General features: G+C 38.6%; 1 protein-coding gene and 1 long non-coding RNA gene across 4 annotated transcripts in view, besides 3 other annotated features; one reads left to right on the top strand and one right to left on the bottom strand.

Annotated features, from left to right (window-relative positions):
* Window positions 651-18,137, bottom strand: CA2 (carbonic anhydrase 2). 2 transcript variants are annotated; one of them, NM_000067.3, is made up of 7 exons: window positions 18,029-18,137; window positions 16,675-16,872; window positions 8,333-8,451; window positions 7,728-7,820; window positions 6,284-6,346; window positions 4,869-5,024; window positions 651-1,474 (listed from the first exon to the last, which is right to left on the bottom strand). In NM_000067.3, the coding sequence occupies exons 1-7, from the start codon at window positions 18,060-18,062 to the stop codon at window positions 1,355-1,357; spliced, it is 783 nt and encodes a 260-aa protein (NP_000058.1). In that variant the 5' UTR covers window positions 18,063-18,137; the 3' UTR covers window positions 651-1,354. The 2 variants fall into 2 exon arrangements, with proteins under 2 accessions (NP_000058.1, NP_001280604.1); NM_001293675.2 differs by lacking the exon at window positions 8,333-8,451.
* Window positions 17,229-18,201, top strand: part of CA3-AS1 (CA3 antisense RNA 1) — a 23,110-nt gene continuing 22,137 nt past the window's right edge. The window contains exon 1 of one of the 2 annotated variants that reach the window (NR_121630.1): window positions 17,229-17,562. This is a non-coding gene — a long non-coding RNA (CA3 antisense RNA 1). Of the gene's footprint in view, window positions 17,563-17,810; window positions 17,917-18,201 lie in introns of those variants that run through there. The other variant, NR_121631.1, reaches the window with a different exon arrangement.
* Window positions 17,529-18,028: an enhancer, noted in NCBI's record as "H3K27ac hESC enhancer chr8:86376345-86376844 (GRCh37/hg19 assembly coordinates)". NCBI's record gives its function as "activates a minimal SCP1, AML or CMV promoter by ChIP-STARR-seq in primed H9 embryonic stem cells {active_cell/tissue: H9 hESC(primed)}" and the evidence as "EXISTENCE:reporter gene assay evidence [ECO:0000049][PMID:30033119]".
* Window positions 17,529-18,141: a biological region, named in NCBI's record as "H3K27ac hESC enhancer GRCh37_chr8:86376345-86376844".
* Window positions 17,672-18,141: a silencer, noted in NCBI's record as "silent region_19340". NCBI's record gives its function as "represses an Ori minimal core promoter by ATAC-STARR-seq in GM12878 lymphoblastoid cells {active_cell/tissue: GM12878}" and the evidence as "EXISTENCE:reporter gene assay evidence [ECO:0000049][PMID:35858748]".

The raw sequence follows: 18,201 nt of genomic DNA, 5'->3' as shown, positions 1-18,201 counted from the left end.
AGGAACACTTTTACACTGTTGGTCAGACTGTAAACTAGTTCAATCATTGTGGAAGTCAGTGTGGCGATTCCTCAGGGATCTAGAACTAGAAATACCATTTGACCCAGCCATCCCATTACTGGGTATATACCCAAAGGATTATAAATCATGCTGCTATAAAGACACATGCACACCTATGTTTATTGCAGCACTATTCACAATAGCAAAGACTTGGAACCAACCCAAATGTCCAACAATGATAGACTGGATTAAGAAAATGTGGCACATATACACCATGAAATACTATGCAGCCATAAAAAAGGATGAGTTCATGTCCTTTGTAGGGACACGGATGAAACTGGGAACCATTATTCTCAGCAAACTATCACAAGGACAAAAAACCAAACACCACATGTTCTCACTCATAGGTGGGAATTGAACAATGAGAACACATGGACACAGGAAGGGGAACATCACACACTGGGGCCTGTCGTGGGGTTGGGGGAGTGGGGAGGGATAGCATTAGGAGATATACCTAATGCTAAATGACTAGTTAATGGGTGCAGCACACCAACATGGCACATGTATACATATGTAACAAATCTGCACGTTGTGCACATGTACCCTAAAACTTAAAGTATAATAAAAATAAATAAATAAATAACCCAGAATAGAATTCTGAATTTTATTAGAGAATATATCTAAAATACAATATTTATTAAGTTATGATATATTGTCTGAATGGAAATATACTCTGTATCACAACTCTAATTATAACAATTTTTACAGATAATACTTCATTTATATCTCTGTAATTCAAAAGTCATTAAATTACAACAGAATTCATATTTAAGATAACTTTGCTATAAATATATAATAATTTTTAAAGTTTTTCTTTAATATAACATCTTGAAATCATGAACATTTATTTTTTCTGGTTTACATTACATAGAATCATGACTATTTTACCTGATTTGCCTTAACTAGCTCAATTTATCTTGTGCTATGGATTTGCACTCAACCATTCTACTTTCCTATGTTTTAAAAGCAGCATTTTAGTCAACAATTGTGAGTGCTCATCACCCTACATGCTGTGAACAAAGTCAAGGTACTTTATTCTTATTTCTTATCCTATATTCTGTGTTACAGAAAAACTACTACCATAAACAAAGCACCAACCAGCCACAGCAGTTGTGTCAAGCATGACAATTGGTCTAGTCTTCACATTTTATTAGTAAGTCTATCAAGTAAGAGATGAAGGGTCTAGAAAACTAGACACAAAGCAACCAGGGTCCAAATCACCAAGGTAGATCTGTGCTTAGCTAAAGGGAAACACCCGAAGATTCATTATTTGGATACAGACTATGGGACCATCTTATTTGAAGGAAGCTTTGATTTGCCTGTTCTTCAGTGGCTGAGCTGGGCGCCAGTTGTCCACCATCAGTTCTTCGGGTTCACCCTCCCCATTGAAGTTAAGTTTACGGAATTTCAACACCTAAAAGACACAATAAAACATTGATAATTAATGTTTCACAATGGTATTCAGTTATATACTTGTGTTATATCTTTAAATACATTCCCCGGCCAGGCGCAGTGGCTCATGCCTGTAATCCCAGCACTTTGTAAGGCTGAGGCATGAGGCGGGTGGATCACTTGAGGTCAGCAATTCGAGACCAGCCTGGCCAACATGGTGAAACCCTGTCTCTACAAAAAAAAAAACACACACACACACACACAAAAATTAAACAGGCGTGGTAGAGCACCTGTAATCTCAGCTACTCAGGAGGCTAAGGCACAAGAATCATTTAAACCCTGGAGGCAGAGATTGCAATGAGCTGAGATTGCGCCACTGCACTCCAGCCTAGGCGACAGAGCAAGGCTCTGCCTCAAAAAACAGAAACAAAAACAAACAAAAATTACATTCCACAACATTCAGTGCTGTGCATCAATGGCCAAAATTCAGTTTGATTCCTAATGAATACATAATCACATATAGATTATGTATGTATGCTTTAATATAACAAACCAATTTATACAAAATACACAAATTCGTTGGGGTCATTTTTAAGGGAAATTTTCAGTGACCTTCTAATTTAAAAATCTAACATCAAAAGTCTATAAACTCATACCTTTAGATGCAAAATAATAACAATTTTAGTTCCAAATTAAAGCTTTGTTTTCTGCCCCAGGGAAGACAAACTACCACATCCATACAATTAGATCAAGTGATCAGGACCTGTAAGCTCCATGGGCTGAGTGACGAGCTGGCATCTCCAAATACACAAAAACACGGAAATGAATTTGCCTAGGCTGATTTGCCTTAAGAAGCTCAATTTATCTCATGCTATGGATTTGCACTCAACCATTCTACTTTCCTGTTTTAAAAACAGCATTTTAGTGAACAATTGTGAGTGCTCACCACCCTACATAGCCCTACTGGCATTTTGCCAATATATGCATTTAACATTAGAACCCCTTGTCACTGGTTGATTTTTATTCCCTTATAAACTTGTTTCAGTTTACTGGCCACCACTGAGATACAGGCAGCTGTTGAACAGTCTCCCACTTCTTCAAGGTTCTCAAAAAGTGCTACTTTCCCCCCTCTAACCAAGACGTGATCCAAATGCAAAAGGGTGGTTTGGACAGTAATATAGCAGCCCATGAATCAACAGCCTTTAACCTGATCTCTTTTGTCCAGTAATAGTCCCTCAATCACCCCCGTAGAGCCACCTTCCATGCACATACATTATAACATGCACAGCTATGGTTACTGAATGCAAGGGAGCATTCTAAGGATATATAGGGTTGATTCGTTACAACAGAATTCCAGCAATCTGAAAGAGAGTCTGTTCATAAAGTGTAAACAGGTCAAACTTTTGATCAAACCAGTATAACCGATTTCTGCTACTCACTGCACCAATTAAACTACACTGTCACATTAGTCAACTTGACTCATTGTTTTAGCATCACAGAGACAGAGCCTGGGTATAGAAAATAAAGGTAGCAGAATTAGCAGACCCATTTATACTGCTTACCTAAAATCCACGCCCCCCCATACTTCCTCATTAACAGACATCCGCCCTCTCCCTGTAAGCCTCAGTGGGGTAAACCTGCAGGTCTTAACTGACTGTGATGATCACATTCCCGGGCTAGGGACTGAGCAAGAAACACAATTCTAGCCAGTGAGAAGTGAAAGGTTTTCTAGGGGCCTTCAGGAAAGAGCTTCTCTGCTCTTAGGAAGCCAATGGAAGAGGTATTCATTTCCTCCTCAAGAAGTGGTTATATCTAGATGTGATGCTCAAAATGCTATTACAACCACCTTGAGGATGAAGTCACCAATTGGCAAGGCCAAGTCAAGGGACTCAGATAGAGGAGGACCTGCAGCCCTAGCTTCCTGAGCTGAGCATGATCCTTCCTCCAGATTCCATGTTATAGGACAAAAAAAAGAGCCCTATTGGTATTTTGCCAATATATACAATTAACATCATTAGTTTAATACCACTTTCAACTTTAAAGAGCAAACTCAGGGTACAGGGATTAATGCAGTAGGTTCAACTGCCCTTATCTATATGTGTATTTCTGCCTGTGGGTGTGTATACACCATAAATCCATTTGTTATAATGGCTCTAAATGTCAGACTATTGCTTTAAAGTTGCATTGCTCTCAGTGAAAGAAGAAAAAAAAATTCATGTTTTAAATTATAATGTAAACACTGCATCTACAAAAAGAAGGGCATTATAATCTTTCCTTACGCTACACTTCAAGAAGCTTACTCAAATATGTTATTACTACAAGGTCAATCTTCAAGTGACATACCAAGCATGCTATTTTTTAGGCCCACTTTGATATGCTACAAGTAATTTTCCAGTCAGATACATATTTCCTTTAAAGAAAGATATGAAGTATCTTCAGCATTCATAAGTTCATATTCTAAGGGAGGACACAGGAATAGAATCCTTGCTCCCAGGCCTGATTCTGTTGCAAGGTAGCTGAGTGGAAAACACTTCAATTTTCCTGCATCTCAGACTGTTGATCAATGTGATTCAAGCCAGTGAAATGAGAAAGTTGGACAACATGATCTCTATTGCACATTGCAGCTCTAAACCTCTATTATTCAGCATTTTTGTAGGTTTAAATCACACTACCACTACTCACATAGTTACCATTTTCAAGACTGTTGGCTCCTAAAGCTATCCTTAAATTATTCAGGATCCATCCTCTTGTGAATCCTAAGGAATGTTCACTTTCTACATTTCAACTGTGCGCTAAGAGGTAAGTCTAGGAAAAACTCATTTGTATCCACTTTAGTGGCTGCTCATCAGTGACTTAGAAGCTGCACTAATCACTTGACGATCACACACTATATTTTATTGGAAATGTAAGAATACCTGCTCTAAGCCTCTAAAGCAACCTGGAGTGAGTTTTAATAGATACATGTTCTCCAAGGGATGACTCTCATCTGTCAGGATTCAGAAATGCATTCTGATATAAATAAAATAGCAGAAAGCCCTTATGTGAGTGAGTAGTAGGCTGGTAACTCACTGATACCTGCGTAACCTTGAATATGAACTCTCACTTTTCTAAGCCTTAGTTTCCTCATAACTGGCAAAAAAAAAAAAAGGCATTTATTAGGTGACAGACATCTTTCTCATTGAATCCTTACAATGACTATTCAATTTTAGAGACTAAACGAACTAAGTTTATAGTTAATAACAACAAAGATTTACTGAACGCTGTTTATTTGCTAGGCACCATCAAAGGCACTATTTCCATAGCAAGAAGTAGCAGGAGAAGGATTAAATCTCAGTTCTCTCTCACTCTGGAGGCCAAGGTCTTCTGCCTTGACTAAATGCTCCACCCGTAAACAGACCTGTCATTACAAAACAAACCTGCTCGCTGCTGACGCTGATGGGTTCCTTGAGCACAATCCAGGTCACACATTCCAGAAGAGGAGGGGTGGTCAGTGAGCCTGGGTAGGTCCAGTAATCCAAGGATTCAGGAAGGAGGCCACGAGGATCGAAGTTAGTGAAGTCAGCACTCTTGCCCTAGAACAAGGCAAATACGCAGCTTCAAACTATCACATTGACAGAGTAGGAGGAAGGTAGGAGAGCAGCAGACACAAATAGGTATACTCCCCTCTGATGGTCAAAAACACTTTTTAAAAAAGAGGTTCTATATTCACTGGCAAACAAAATAAAGAGAAATTAACAGAAGACATTCAACTTGAAAATATGTGGCAAGTCGTAGTAAAAAAAAAAAAAAACTATTTTCACATGTCCATTTTTCATCTTGGCCTTTTATCTAAAATGATCCCTTACATTCCCCATTAAGTCATTAGCTGATCACACCCAGTATTTAAAGTGAGACTGCTGCCACTAAAATGAGGTGACTTCAAGTTGCAATAACAGAAATATGGTATCCTGATGAGGAGGTGATTTTCTTGCTCTAGGTCAGAATCAAATAACTACATTCTGTTTTGGACACTACACTTTTCAAGCAAACAGGAATGATTTACTGGAAGAATGACAAGGTGGTGGCAAAGAGAGAAAACTATATCATATGAGAATAGTTAAAGGAAACTAAAGATAATTAGTTTGGGGTAGGTGAAAAAACAAAGTAGAGACAGAGTAGAGTTATTTGGAAGAGAGATCAGGTTTATTCTATGAATTCAAGGGGCTCAAGCCAGTGAGTGAGCATTTCAGAGGATAGATGCTGCTTCAATGTGAAGATCAGCTTTATAAAGCCAGGGCTGCCCCTGGTGATAAGTTCCCCATCACCGGAAGTGACTGTAGTGTTTAAACAGATGCTCAACGACCTCAACACAACTATGCTGCAGAGAGGATTTAAATGCAGGATGGATGAATGCAAAGAGGTCATAGAATAGAAATCTCCATGAAACAGGGCCTTGTTTATCTTGTTCACCATTGTGTCTACTAGTTTGCAAAGCGACTGGCACATAGTACATACTTAACAAATATCTGCTGTATGAATGAGTGAATAATTTGACTAGAGGACCTTTGAACCTCCTTGCAGGCATAAGATTCTCTGACTCTTACATATGGATGTCCAAATGATGGGGGAGCAAGATTAAATAAATACAAGTCTTAGAATTATGCTAGCATTAGGATCAACTTTGTTGAAAGAAACGTTAATTAAATATTTAAGTAATATTCTACCTTTACTAACTGCTCATCCAAACACCACATGTCATTGAGACTGTGCAATTTGATCAAAAGAAATTTCTAAAACCAATGGAGTATTGAAAATTGGTACCCTAAGGAGGTGGCAGAAAATTCAAATTTACCTTTGTTTTAATGGAATCCAGCACATCAACAACTTTCTGAAGGCCCGGTTTAGCGCTGCCAACCTAAAGAAAAACATAAAGGGCAAGATACTATCACCCAGTTGGTACTGTACCAGTTTTTATTTTTATTTGGGTAGCTCTATTAGAAAACATCCAAATAGTGAGCCCAAATTCTCCACTTCATACATGACCCCCATCAGTACTGGCTTGATGACACTGACACCATAGACTTGCCTACTTTCACTGAATCTTCAACTCGCCTCTAATTCCACTCAGAGAGTAGTCCTGAAACCACCAGCTCAATTGTCCCCAGTGACCTCTAACTGCCAAAGGATACTCCTCAAGGGCTTGCCTTGATTTCCTTGTAGGACTTTACACTATGGTCTTCCCTTCTTTTTAAAAATTATTTTCTTCTTTGGCTTTCCCTACGCCTTCCAGCAACCCAAATCTCTCTTGACTCTCGCTTTTTTTTTTTTTTTTTTTTTTTTTAGAGTCAGAGTCTTGCTCTGTCATCCAGCTTGTAGTGCAGTGGCATGATCATAGCTCACTGCAACCTCAACCCCTAGGCTGCAGTGATTTTCCTGCCCTGGCTTCCCAAGTAGCTGAAACTACAGGTGTATACCACCATGCCCAGCTAATTTTGTGTTTTTGTTTTTGTTTTGTTTTTTTGTTTGTTAGTTTGTTTTTTATGCCCAGCTAATTTTTAAAAAAATTTTGTAGAGATGGAATTGTGCTATGTTGCCCAGGCTGGTCTTGAGCTCCTGGCCTCAAACTATCCTCCTGCCTTGGTGTCCCAAGGTGCTGGGATTACAGGCTTAAGCCACCACACCTGGCCCCTTTTAAGTTGTTTAATTTGCATCTCTCCCCTTGTAAAGGCCTTACATTTTGCAGTTTCTCAGGATTGCTCCCTGGGCAGATTTCTCATCTCCCTCTTCGTGCTGTACTTGGATGATTTCATACACACCTGTAGCTTCCACCTCAACATATGAATCAGAGCTCATAAATCTCCAGCCCAGACCTTTCTCCATTCCCCTTTACCACTGTTTAGAGGGCAGCTCAACCGGTTCTGTCCCACTGTTGCCTGAAATTCACTGTCCTTCCCCTCTTCAGAACCTGATCTTACTTTATCATAATATAGTACTGTCTAGCCTCAGGTTAAATGAAAAGAAAACAAACAAACACCTAGCAGTCACCCAAGTTGATCTCTTTATGTTCTTCACATTTACATCCAAAAGGTACCAAATAAGTACCTCTCCTATTGTCTTTCTGCCCTCCATCTCCACTGCAACTAGCAGATATGAAAGGAGGAGATAAACTTGAAAACATTTCAGGGACAAAGGCATTTCCTAAGCTCTTTTGTAGAATGTCCTGTATGTTACAAATACTCTGTCTGGTCATTCTTTATTAAAAATAGGGAAAAAAAAGAATTGGGTCATCAACTAACCTTCAAAAAAATACCTAGAACGGCCAGTCCATCAGGTTGCTGCACAGCTTTCCCAAAATCCCCATATTTGGTGTTCCAGTGAACCAAGTGAAGCTAAGGCCGAAGAGACAAAGCCACAGTGAGTGATTTACATAATCAAAGCTGACAGATTTTATTCAATGGTCTTTTTCTCACAATAAAGGTTACTCAGGAAATTGAAAATATGGATAATTTTAAATCAAAATTTTCCTTTCATTTTAATTCTAATCATCCACACAGTACTTGGTATAACAGCAAGTGTTTTCATCAATAACTCTAAGACAAATAAATGTACAGTTTTGACAGAAGGCACACATTTTATTTCTAAATTTCTGTTAAAACAGGATCCTCCAGTTTGAGTCCGTTTACTTTTTGCAAATGGTGGAGTTGGAGACAGTAGAGAAAGTTTTGCAGCGTTAAGTATGATGTCACAATTAAAGGTTATAAAAAGCAAATGTGAAGGTCCTTTGTAAAAGAAGTGGTTCACTGGGCGTGAGTTGAATTTACAAATTAAGCTTTTGAAATTAATGCTAAATATCAACTTATAAACATTTTTCCCTGGAAAGAAAAAAAAAAGTATATCTTACTTCTGCAGCATATTTCTTTTTATCCACAGTATGCTCTGAACCTTGTCCATCAAGTGAACCCCAGTGAAAGTGAAACTGAATCAATCTGTAAGTGCCATCCAGGGGTCCTCCCTTGAGCACTAAAATTAAAACATATATATATATGTAACATATATGTATGTATCTGCATACACATATATACATAGGTATACACACATACATACACACACATGAAACACATGCCTAAATATTACAATCTTAATTCTGTTTTACAGTACTAAATGTTTGCCTTTAATCACATTTTACTCTGAAAATTCAATCCAGAGTCAAGTTTAGTCTACGGTGCTGAACAAAATCACTTTACCTGTTTTTATTCCTCACATGCGTTGTCTGGAGAATGGATGTTTTTCACATCTTTCTTTCTGAGCATACTGATTCCTTTTTCTGGGTTTGTTTTAGAGTCATAGATTCAGGTCCAGAGAGAGAAAATTCTAAGTGAAACTAATAATCTGTGAAACATTTAGGAAGTGCCCATGCAGCTACTGGCCAATAAATTGGTCTGCTACACACACTTGCAAACGTGAGACCCTCTCTTCCACCAAGGCCCGATTGCTGCCATACAGCCTGCTTTGCTAACCTCTGATACCAGTTCTTAGACACCCGAATTTGTGAAATCAGTATTCCATTGATCTTAACATTGCAAAATCCAATTATCCTTATATAGGCTTCCCAAATTCTTTAGAATTTAGACTCTCACTGCTGCTGGCTAGCTTTGTTCCCTTAATTTTTTTTATTATTTATTTATTTATTTATTTATTTATTATTATTATTATTATTTTGAAACAGAGCTTTGCTCTGTTGCCCAGGCTGGAGTGCGGTGGTGCGATCTCGGCTCACTGCAACTTCCGCCTCAAGCAGAGTTCAAGCGATTCTCGTGCCTCAGCCTCCCGAGTAGCTGGGATTACAGGTGTGCACCACCATGTCCAGTTAATTTTTGTATTTTTAGTAGAGGCAGAGTCTTGCCTTGTTTCCCAGGCTGGTCTGGAACTCCTGAGCTTGAGTAATCCATCCACCTCGGCCTCCTAAAGTGCCGGGATTACAGGCATGAGCCACCGTGCCCGGCCGAAAATTTTTATTAAACCTCTTTGACCTTAATTTACTCATCTGTGGACACACTAAATCATTTACTATTTCACTAATAATTTATGGATCATCTTCTATATGCAGTGTAATGTGCTCTATTATCTCCAAGAACTTAAAATTCTAACTTGATAACTATTCCACGATTCTACTATTCTGGCATTAATGTAACTGCATTAAGCAAAATCAGTAACAAAAATCACATCCATCGGCTACAAACTATCTGTATATAATTAATAAGTTGCGTCTTGACAGAGGATTAAAATAGTGTGAAATCAGTCTTTCTTCCATCCACCAAGAAACTCTGTGCCTAACTTTGTATGTATTAATGGGATTTAACCAATATATTCAAAAGCTTTTAAAAGTAGTTTAGTTCTACAATTTAAATTTTATTTTTCTAGTACTGGGAATTAAACATTTGTTGCTATAAGTGTATTTTATTAGCTTTACTTTATAATTCCATAAAATAATGAGCCCAAATTTACTTTGGCATTGCAGAACAAAGGGATAACTTCTGTACAACAAGATTTGTTCATGAGCTTCACCTAAATATCCTTACATGGTAGCAATATCCATTCATCTATTCAAAGTGAAAGACTGCTTTGAAGATATTTAAGCAGTGGGGTCTTTCTGTGGTTCCTGATACAACCTCTGGCTGCCAGATCTGCTTTACAATAGGCCAGGAGAAAAAAGGAAGAATGAAAACAGAAAGAATTATAAATGGTGTTATGTTAAAGATCTGCTAAGAAATATGAATTTGGATGTATTCTGACAAAGTCACATCTCTTGGAACACAAAAACAACTTATTACAACAGTTTGTTTCCTGACAATTCTATAAGGAAATATTAGCCTCTAATTCTAGACTTTTTTAAAAAAGAATGAAATAATTCCCTTTTTTCATAATAATATATAAAAATTAAATATATGTTTATGAAATAAATTAATACTGAAAAAAATCCTTTATAATAACTCTTTAAAGCTAGCAACCAACTGGCTGATAATAAGAAGCAAATGTCATTTGTCAAATCATTAACTCTACCAAGTGGTAAAACTAACTAACTAAAACCATACTAAGAATCTGAGATAACCAATTTTCTAAATGTATCTTCTTTCCCCCCAGTGAAGAATCATAGCAGGATCTTACATTTTAAGGAGAATAAAGTTTATTGCTGTTTCTTATTCTTTCTCTAACAAATCTTAAAGTTTCATCTTAATTTGTTTCTAAAAACATTTAGAATTAGGCAAGAGTGTGTGCAAACCTTTAGTAAACAATACTTGCTAACAGCTAACACTAAAAAAAAAAAAAGATAAAGTGCTCTGGGCTCAATGATTAAACACATTCAGTGCTAATCTGTTATCACCAGATACCTGTTTTAGCCCCTGTTAAAATAAAACTTGTTCCTATGAAGATTAGAAACCCACTGTAACTAGAAAATGTTATTAAATCCTTAAAGTTTACTTGCTACAGAAGGCAGCATTTCTGGCAAACTCTTAGCATGGAGTTTAGTCAATGAAGTCCTTCAAAAACATTGTTATAATAAATTGCCATAAACTCAAACTTTTTATTTGAGAAACATAAAACATAATATCTTGGTTTAAGTTAGGGACTTTATGCTATATTCTGGATCTACTTATTTATTTAAATGACTACATGCCATTTTCTAAACTGTTGCAGTTTAAAATGAAATCTATTTTCTAATGTAAAAATAATTTTAAAAAATAGCAGAAATTGCTAACTGCCTATTTTTTCTCTGTAAAATCCAGCCATGGCAGTGGTGCTTTAAAGAGTCAATGATTCATTGTACCCCAGAAATGGGTTCTGTGAGGGATGGAGACATAAATACAGTTTTCTACTCTAATGTTTTTTTCAAGACCCCCCCCAATTTAATTTAAATTCAAATCTCAACACCAAGAGCTCCAGCCAATTTTAATTTTCATGATTGTCATCAATTATACATACTCTGTATATAACACAAAACAAGCACTAAGTATAATGTTATAGAATAATCTTTCTTCCTATACATATTATTTGAGGAAATTATATAAATTACTTTTTGAGAAAAATAAGAAATCCAGTAATATTGAAATGAATCACATTACTTATACAAATTAAAAGCTGAACATTTAATATTTTTTAATTTTTTCTCCCTAATCACTTAAACTAAATTAAGATGCACTGGAGTAACAGACTAAAGACCGTAATGAATGTCAACAGTTTCTCCTAAGTCCAAAATATAAATAAACTAGTCCCAGTAATCTTTAGTTTAAAAATAAAATTTAAATGATTTCCTACTAATAAAGCAAAAGATTAATTCTACAGAAAACATGTCATTTTCGGTACCATCTTTTCTATAAATAACCTGAAAAATTTTAAATCATGCATTACTGTTTTGCCTGTTGGCAGCAGCCAATAATCCTAGGGCTACGTGCCAATATAGACAAATCTGGGGGGAAAAAATACACGTATTCCATTTGTTTTAAAGCAATAAGATGTTTAGCTGTCACTTTCGCTAGAGTAAACACAGTTGAAATTCAACAGAAGTCGTGGTTTAAACTATGTGGCAATTATATAGGAGTAAAAAAAGAAGCTGTTTTGATGTGAATATAGTAACTACAGTGTTTAGAATATGTTGGTCCATTTTCTAGATATTTAAGGTTCGGCTGACACCATTACTGCGTGCATGACAAGCCCTTTCATTTGTTGTTATGCTTTCTTTTAACTTAGGACTGCTGTGAAAGAAAACTTTTAGAGCTTCAAAAGCAAGTCCCTGAAAGTCAAGCAGGATCCATGTATGAAGATCCATTACGTCATACAGACAATGGGTCACTTAAAAAGAGCACAGGTAAACTCATCCAGCTTCCTTTACTCTTTTCTTGAAATAACAAACAGATTTAAAAAATTCCAATTTCTGAAAAACAGAAATGATGTAAGACTTGGATAAGAGTTGGCCCAATAATTCTGGCATTGACTTTCAATATTTGTCCCTAACTTTGCAATAAAGCAGGAGAGTATTAAACTCATTAATAAAAGTTAATAAGTTAGCAGGAGTTAATAATTTGACTACTATTATTTTCTCCCAGATAAGGCCATTAATAAAACATCTCAAGCAGGGTGAGTTATTTTTTAATAAGTTTTTTAAGAACCTAAAGGGATTAGCAATTTTTCATTAACTTAAGGTGAATTTATGGTGGCTTATTTTCAAAGGAATTTAGAAGATTGATGAGAGCTCTAACCCAAGTTTCTAGTTAAATCCTATTAACTCCGTAGTTTAAAAAATTCTCTCAAGCTTAAATCAGCAATAAAGTCAACCCGCTCAGTTCCTGATACCCAAGTTCTTAAGTTTGGATATAAGAGAACATTTAAAGCATATTGGAAAACCTCAATCTATGAGAAGTTCTAGAAGGCTGAAATCTCATTGAGGCAAAGAAGACAGGTAAATGAACTGCATTTAAATGCAGGAAATAAGAGGTATAGGAAATCTAAAAATGTTACCACCACAAAAATAACTCCTAATAAAAAGAGATGTTAAACTGCCGATTTTTTAAAATTAAGTGACTAAAATAAATAACTTTTTGACTTGTGTACAGAAAAAAATGCCAGCTTTTAAAAAACATGGTATGTATAAACTAAATGTCAAATAAGGTTATCCTTCAAATATTTTTATTCAAAATTCTATTTTTAAGTGATTGCTACTTAGTCCCTCCAGCAAACTAGCAAGGAGACGACTTAGCAAGTTATTTAAACTCTTCAGCTTCTGTTTCTTCATGTTTATTAAGGTGAGTTTAACTAGAGTATCTCTATTCTTTGTTTTGGCTTTGAGAGCCTAGGATTGTTTTATTTAAAAAAAAAAAAAAGAAAGAAAGTCTAAAGGGAGTTTTTCCACATGGTTTTGTGTGTGTGTGTGTGTGGTTTTTTGTTTGTTTGTTTGTTTTGAGATGGAGTCTCGTTCTGTCACCAGGCTGGAGTGCAGTGGTGCGGTCTCGGCTCACTGCGACCTCCGCCTCCCGGGATCCAGCGATTCTCCTGCCTCAGTCTCCTGAGTAGCTGGGATTACAGGCACATGCCACAACACCTAGCTCATTTTTTGCATTTTTAGTACAGACAGTGTTTCACCCTGTTGGCCAGGCTGGTCTTGAACTTCTGACCTCAAGTGATCCGCCCACCTCAGTCTTCCAAAGTGCTGGGACTACAGGCGTGAGCCACCGTGCCTGTCCCCCACATGGTATGATTTTTAAAAATTTATTCTGTAGATGTCTTTTCTCTTAATATTGACATTTTAATATATTCTGCATTCTTGTTTAACCAAAGTAACTGAAAATGTGGAAAAGAGAGGCAAAATTACAAAGGAATCTTTCATATGCAAAGGAGGGCAAGTCCTTTCTGACCTTGCTTTTAGTATACCTTCTTGCCTTTCTGGAGCACATGCTGTGCTCTCTTAAGTCTCCTGGTATTTCCTATCTCCCTTTGCCTGGACTCTCGTCCAAGACATCAAAATCCTTCAAGCCTCCACATAAGCCTTATTTACCCTGGAAAGTCTTTCCTGTCTTATCAGTTAAACTGCCAAGCCTCCTTCACGTTTCCATAGTTCCTTGGAGTACTTCCTTTCTGCACTTATCAAAGTGGCAGTCAGGGTCTACTATTTCTATGTCTTTCTACTTTAGATATTTCCAGCATGGGCTCCGGGGAACAGGAGAGGGACCAGGCCTCCACCCTGCTTTCATGATGCTTAGCTTCCCATGCATTTAAGTGGTGTTAATAATGACTTTTTTGTAGAACTAGGTGGATAATACATGTGTCTCTAAAGGCATGGGTGGGAGCTCCTACCGAAACCCTGTGGTTTTCATCTGTTTCACAATCTAAACATGGCCAACTTCTTTAAAAATGTATGCATTGCTCTCCAGAAGAAATAGCTGTGAAAAATGTAGCTAGATCTAATTAGTTACTGCTTATAGAGAAATCTGTCAAAGTTTAACAGATTCATGGTAAAATATGTAACTATATAATAACTTCATACATAAAATAAGTACATATTCAGTATGATAAACAGTATGCTTCAGAAAATATAAAAATAAAAATTTAAAATACATCAAATGATGGGAACTAATCTTAAAGCTGTTAAAGAAAAAGTTTATTCAGAAATCTTATCGCAGGTGCAACATCTACAGCAATGGTCTAACAGAGGTGGTCGAAGGGTTCAAGTTGTGACAACAACAGAGGCCATTTATTGAGCAACTTCTATGCGCCAGGCACTGGGCTAGGGGCTTTACATATACTGTCCCATTTCATCCTTCCACTGTGGCAGACACTATTGTTACTCCAACTTTACAGTTAAAAACAATTAAAACCTAGACAGTATTACTCCCAAAGTCTCTGAGCTAGTTGCCGGCAGCTCTAGAACTCAAATCCAGGTCTCTCTGACCCCAGTCTATGCTGATAGCCACCAGACCATGTGTTCAAATCCACTTTCCAGTAATACATATTACTAGAATAATTTATTTCACTATCCATTTTTTAAGGACTATTAGGAACCTCATCTGCTTTCATTTGTTGGAGATTTGTTTCTTCAGTGCTCCAAAAAAGACTTAAACTATCCAATTTCTATGTAGCATCCAATGAGATACATAATTTGGCAGACATTACATCCATTGAAAACAATGACATCATTGTGGCTCTTTAAAAAAGTACAGCTACAGACTAAAGTAGCTCACTTCTTTTGGTTTGTAAATGACTAGACGTGAAATGTTATAGTATTCTTTCTGTATGTGTAATACCTTGAGACCTTTGGCCTTGTCTTGTTATAAATATACAGTATTCTTTACAAGAAAAAAATTGTTTAATTTAATTATATGAGCACTGTTCCTTTGGAGTGAGAGGAATGCTTGGGAAAGCAATGTAGCAGAATCACCGAACTGTTTTCAATGTACAACCTTTACTTGATTCTAATAAATCATCATACTATGCCAGAAAGTGTGAGTATGATTGTAAGTGTGTGTGTGTGTGTGTGTGTGTGTATGTATGTATGTATGTGTGTACTGGGGAGGGGTGCACACAGACAGGCACAGGTAGGTTGAAAACATTTCTCAGATGATCTCCACATTATCCCCCATCAAATTGTCTTCCAGAATCACCATTTCAGAAAGCCAGGTGTTTGCAAATTTTTTTAAAGTTGAAAGGAGGGAAGAATTCTTTTTTCAAAACCAAGTTGACTATATAGGATAGCTGCTGACAAAGAATAGTCTACCTGACTAAATGGTTATAATTACATATTATATAATATATTAGTACCGTAGGTCACTACTCCAAAACTTTCTCATTTTGTTCCACCACTCCCCTCACTCCCACACCACCACCAAACAAAATGTGTTTGCAGCACCATTTCATTCTATGACCTTCAGAGGAAAGCACTCAGGAAAATAGGGCACTGGCAATTAAATTAACTGCTTAGCAAAGAAGGCAGCTACTATGTGTGAATGGGATTGTTCTCTTGTTTCAAAAGAGAGAGAGATAAAAAAAAAAAAGCAGGATTTTTTTTCTTCTTTCTCTTTCTTTTTTTTTTTTTTTTTACAGTGAGCATCCTGTAAACAGCTCTATTACCAATAAATACGGTAATTGGTTTTGTCAGTAATGGGCCAGGTATGTTCACCAACTCTAAAACATCTTCGTTTGTGAAATGAATTTCTGAGTAGATATCAAAACATGCTGCCATCTTTATCACACTAGCCCAATACTAAGAAATACTCATAAGTAAAACATTTTCCCAGAATTTCAGTATTTTAAATTGGCACGTTTTTGTTACTCTTCTCGCTGCTAACTTGAAGATAAGGCTCACTAAGATATACTTTTTAATGGATATGCATCAGCTCTGCAAGACAAAATATTTTACAATCTTAAAAGTTCAATTGGTGCAAATCTCATCGTGACTGATCTTTATTGCGAGGGGACTTTGCACCTTTTGTGATTTTTCACAGGCATATCGCAGTTATTCAATGGCCTTCATAGAAGCCAAGGGTTTTACAGGGAAGAAACGGCCCCGGGACACTTCAAACTAATTAGCCTACTTCTCAGAATCTGAGACCTAATGAAAATGATCAGGGTGGCATCCTTGAGTCCTGAGACAAACTGTATTATTAAGAGGGTTCCTGCCACTGTTCCTGGCTCCTTCCATTAAGCTCGGAAAACAGCTACTGGCTAAAAGACACAAGTTATTTTCTAAACACTGACCTGCTTTGTCCTGAGAGTCATCAAACTCCACGTTGAAAGCATGACCATTGTTGAGGATCCTCAGGGAAGTTGCTTGATCATAGGAAACAGACAGGGGCTTCAGGGAAGGGTCATACTTGGCTGTATGAGTGTCGATGTCAACAGGGGACTGGCGCTCTCCCTTGGCAATGGGGAAGTCCTTATGCCAGTGCTCAGGTCCTGGGGGAAAGAAGACATGTGAATCCCCCATTGTGGGGAAAGGTACACCCAGACCCCTAGAGAAGAGCAATCATTCCGGAGCCAATCTGCTCAGTTCCAATTTTAGAAGCATCACTTAACAATGGGCTAAATTTTGGGAAAACACGTAATCTGTGCCTCAGTTTCCACATTTGTAATATGGGATAATTAGAAATCTACCTCATAGATGTCGCTGTAAGAATTAGAATCGATATATGTAAAGCTCTTAGATCACTGAGTGCTATATAAATATTAGCTATTTTAAGGTCGTTTTACTGAAATTCAGCAACTGAAATCGGGCAGACACTAATGTCAGGGCTTGTGGTTGCGATTTTGGGATATGCAAGCTCACTTAAGACATTCAAGGAGGTCTGGATCCTTTCCTCACTGCCCAGGCCCGGGCCCACCCCACCTTTAACCGTCAGGGTTCCCCACTACCTGGGAAGCCCCACACCCTCCAAAGATGCGCTAGGTGCGCCAGACGCATGCTCCTCTGCTCCGCTGGCTCCGAAGAACCAGATCTGAGGCCAAGATAAAACCCGATTCCTGATGTCCGACCCCCTAACATTAGAAGTCGAGAGATGAAGGGAAAACTCGGAAATCAGAGCCATGGATTCAAACCAGCACTGGAAAATGCCCCGGGACAGTTCGTGCTGAGCGCCTTAGCCACAGGTGGTGCTGAAGCTGGAGGGGTGGGGTGGGGGTGGAAGGTGGGGGAGGGGGGAGGGGAGTCTCTTAATTTCTCTGCGATCAACAACTAGAATTTTCCGTTACAACCCTTTCCCGCCTCCTCCTAGGTCCGGTTAAAATGATCCCCAGGTCGGGACCCGGGAGGGACTGTCCTCGGGTCCCGCGGCCAGGGCTGCGCCTCCCCTCCCTCGGGCCCTACGCGCCTCCGGCGGACGCGGGGATTCCTCCACAGTGGCCTCGCAGCTGGGGCAAGGGGGACATCCCCGGCGCCGCGGAGCCGCGAGCGGAGCGAGCGCCCGGGGCGCACCTGAGCCTCCAGCACTCCCCGCGGCCGCGGTAAACAGCATGTGCGGGCGCTGCGGGCCCCGGGCCGGCATCCGGGCTCGGGGATCGGGGATCGGGGATCGGGGATCGGGGCGCCCCCGCGCTGGCCGTCGCCGGCACTCACCGTTGTGTTTGCCGTACCCCCAGTGATGGGACATGGTCGCGCTGGCGGTCGGGGCAGGGCAGGAATCGGCACCGATCTGGCGGCGGCGGCTTGGGCGCCTGCACTGTGTGTCCGCGGGTCGCGCCGGCACCAGCTTTTATAGGCTCCCGCCAACTTCGTGCTCGGGGGCGGCC

This window comes from Homo sapiens, chromosome 8 (assembly GCF_000001405.40).
Source record: "Homo sapiens chromosome 8, GRCh38.p14 Primary Assembly".
In the NCBI taxonomy this organism is placed as follows: domain Eukaryota; kingdom Metazoa; phylum Chordata; class Mammalia; order Primates; family Hominidae; genus Homo; species Homo sapiens.
This window is presented reverse-complemented; position numbering and strand designations above follow the sequence as displayed.

What these genes read in the sequence shown, in the direction of transcription:
- CA2 (NM_000067.3), bottom strand. Translation starts at nt 18,062, where the DNA reads ATGTCCCATCACTGGGGGTACGGCAAACACAACG. An exon ending in AAAAGAAATATGCTGCAGAA is followed by an intron (nt 7,821 to 8,332) that starts GTAAGATATACT and finishes CTTCGGCCTTAG; the next exon opens with CTTCACTTGGTTCACTGGAA. An exon ending in TGGATTCCATTAAAACAAAG is followed by an intron (nt 5,025 to 6,283) that starts GTAAATTTGAAT and finishes GCCTTGTTCTAG; the next exon opens with GGCAAGAGTGCTGACTTCAC.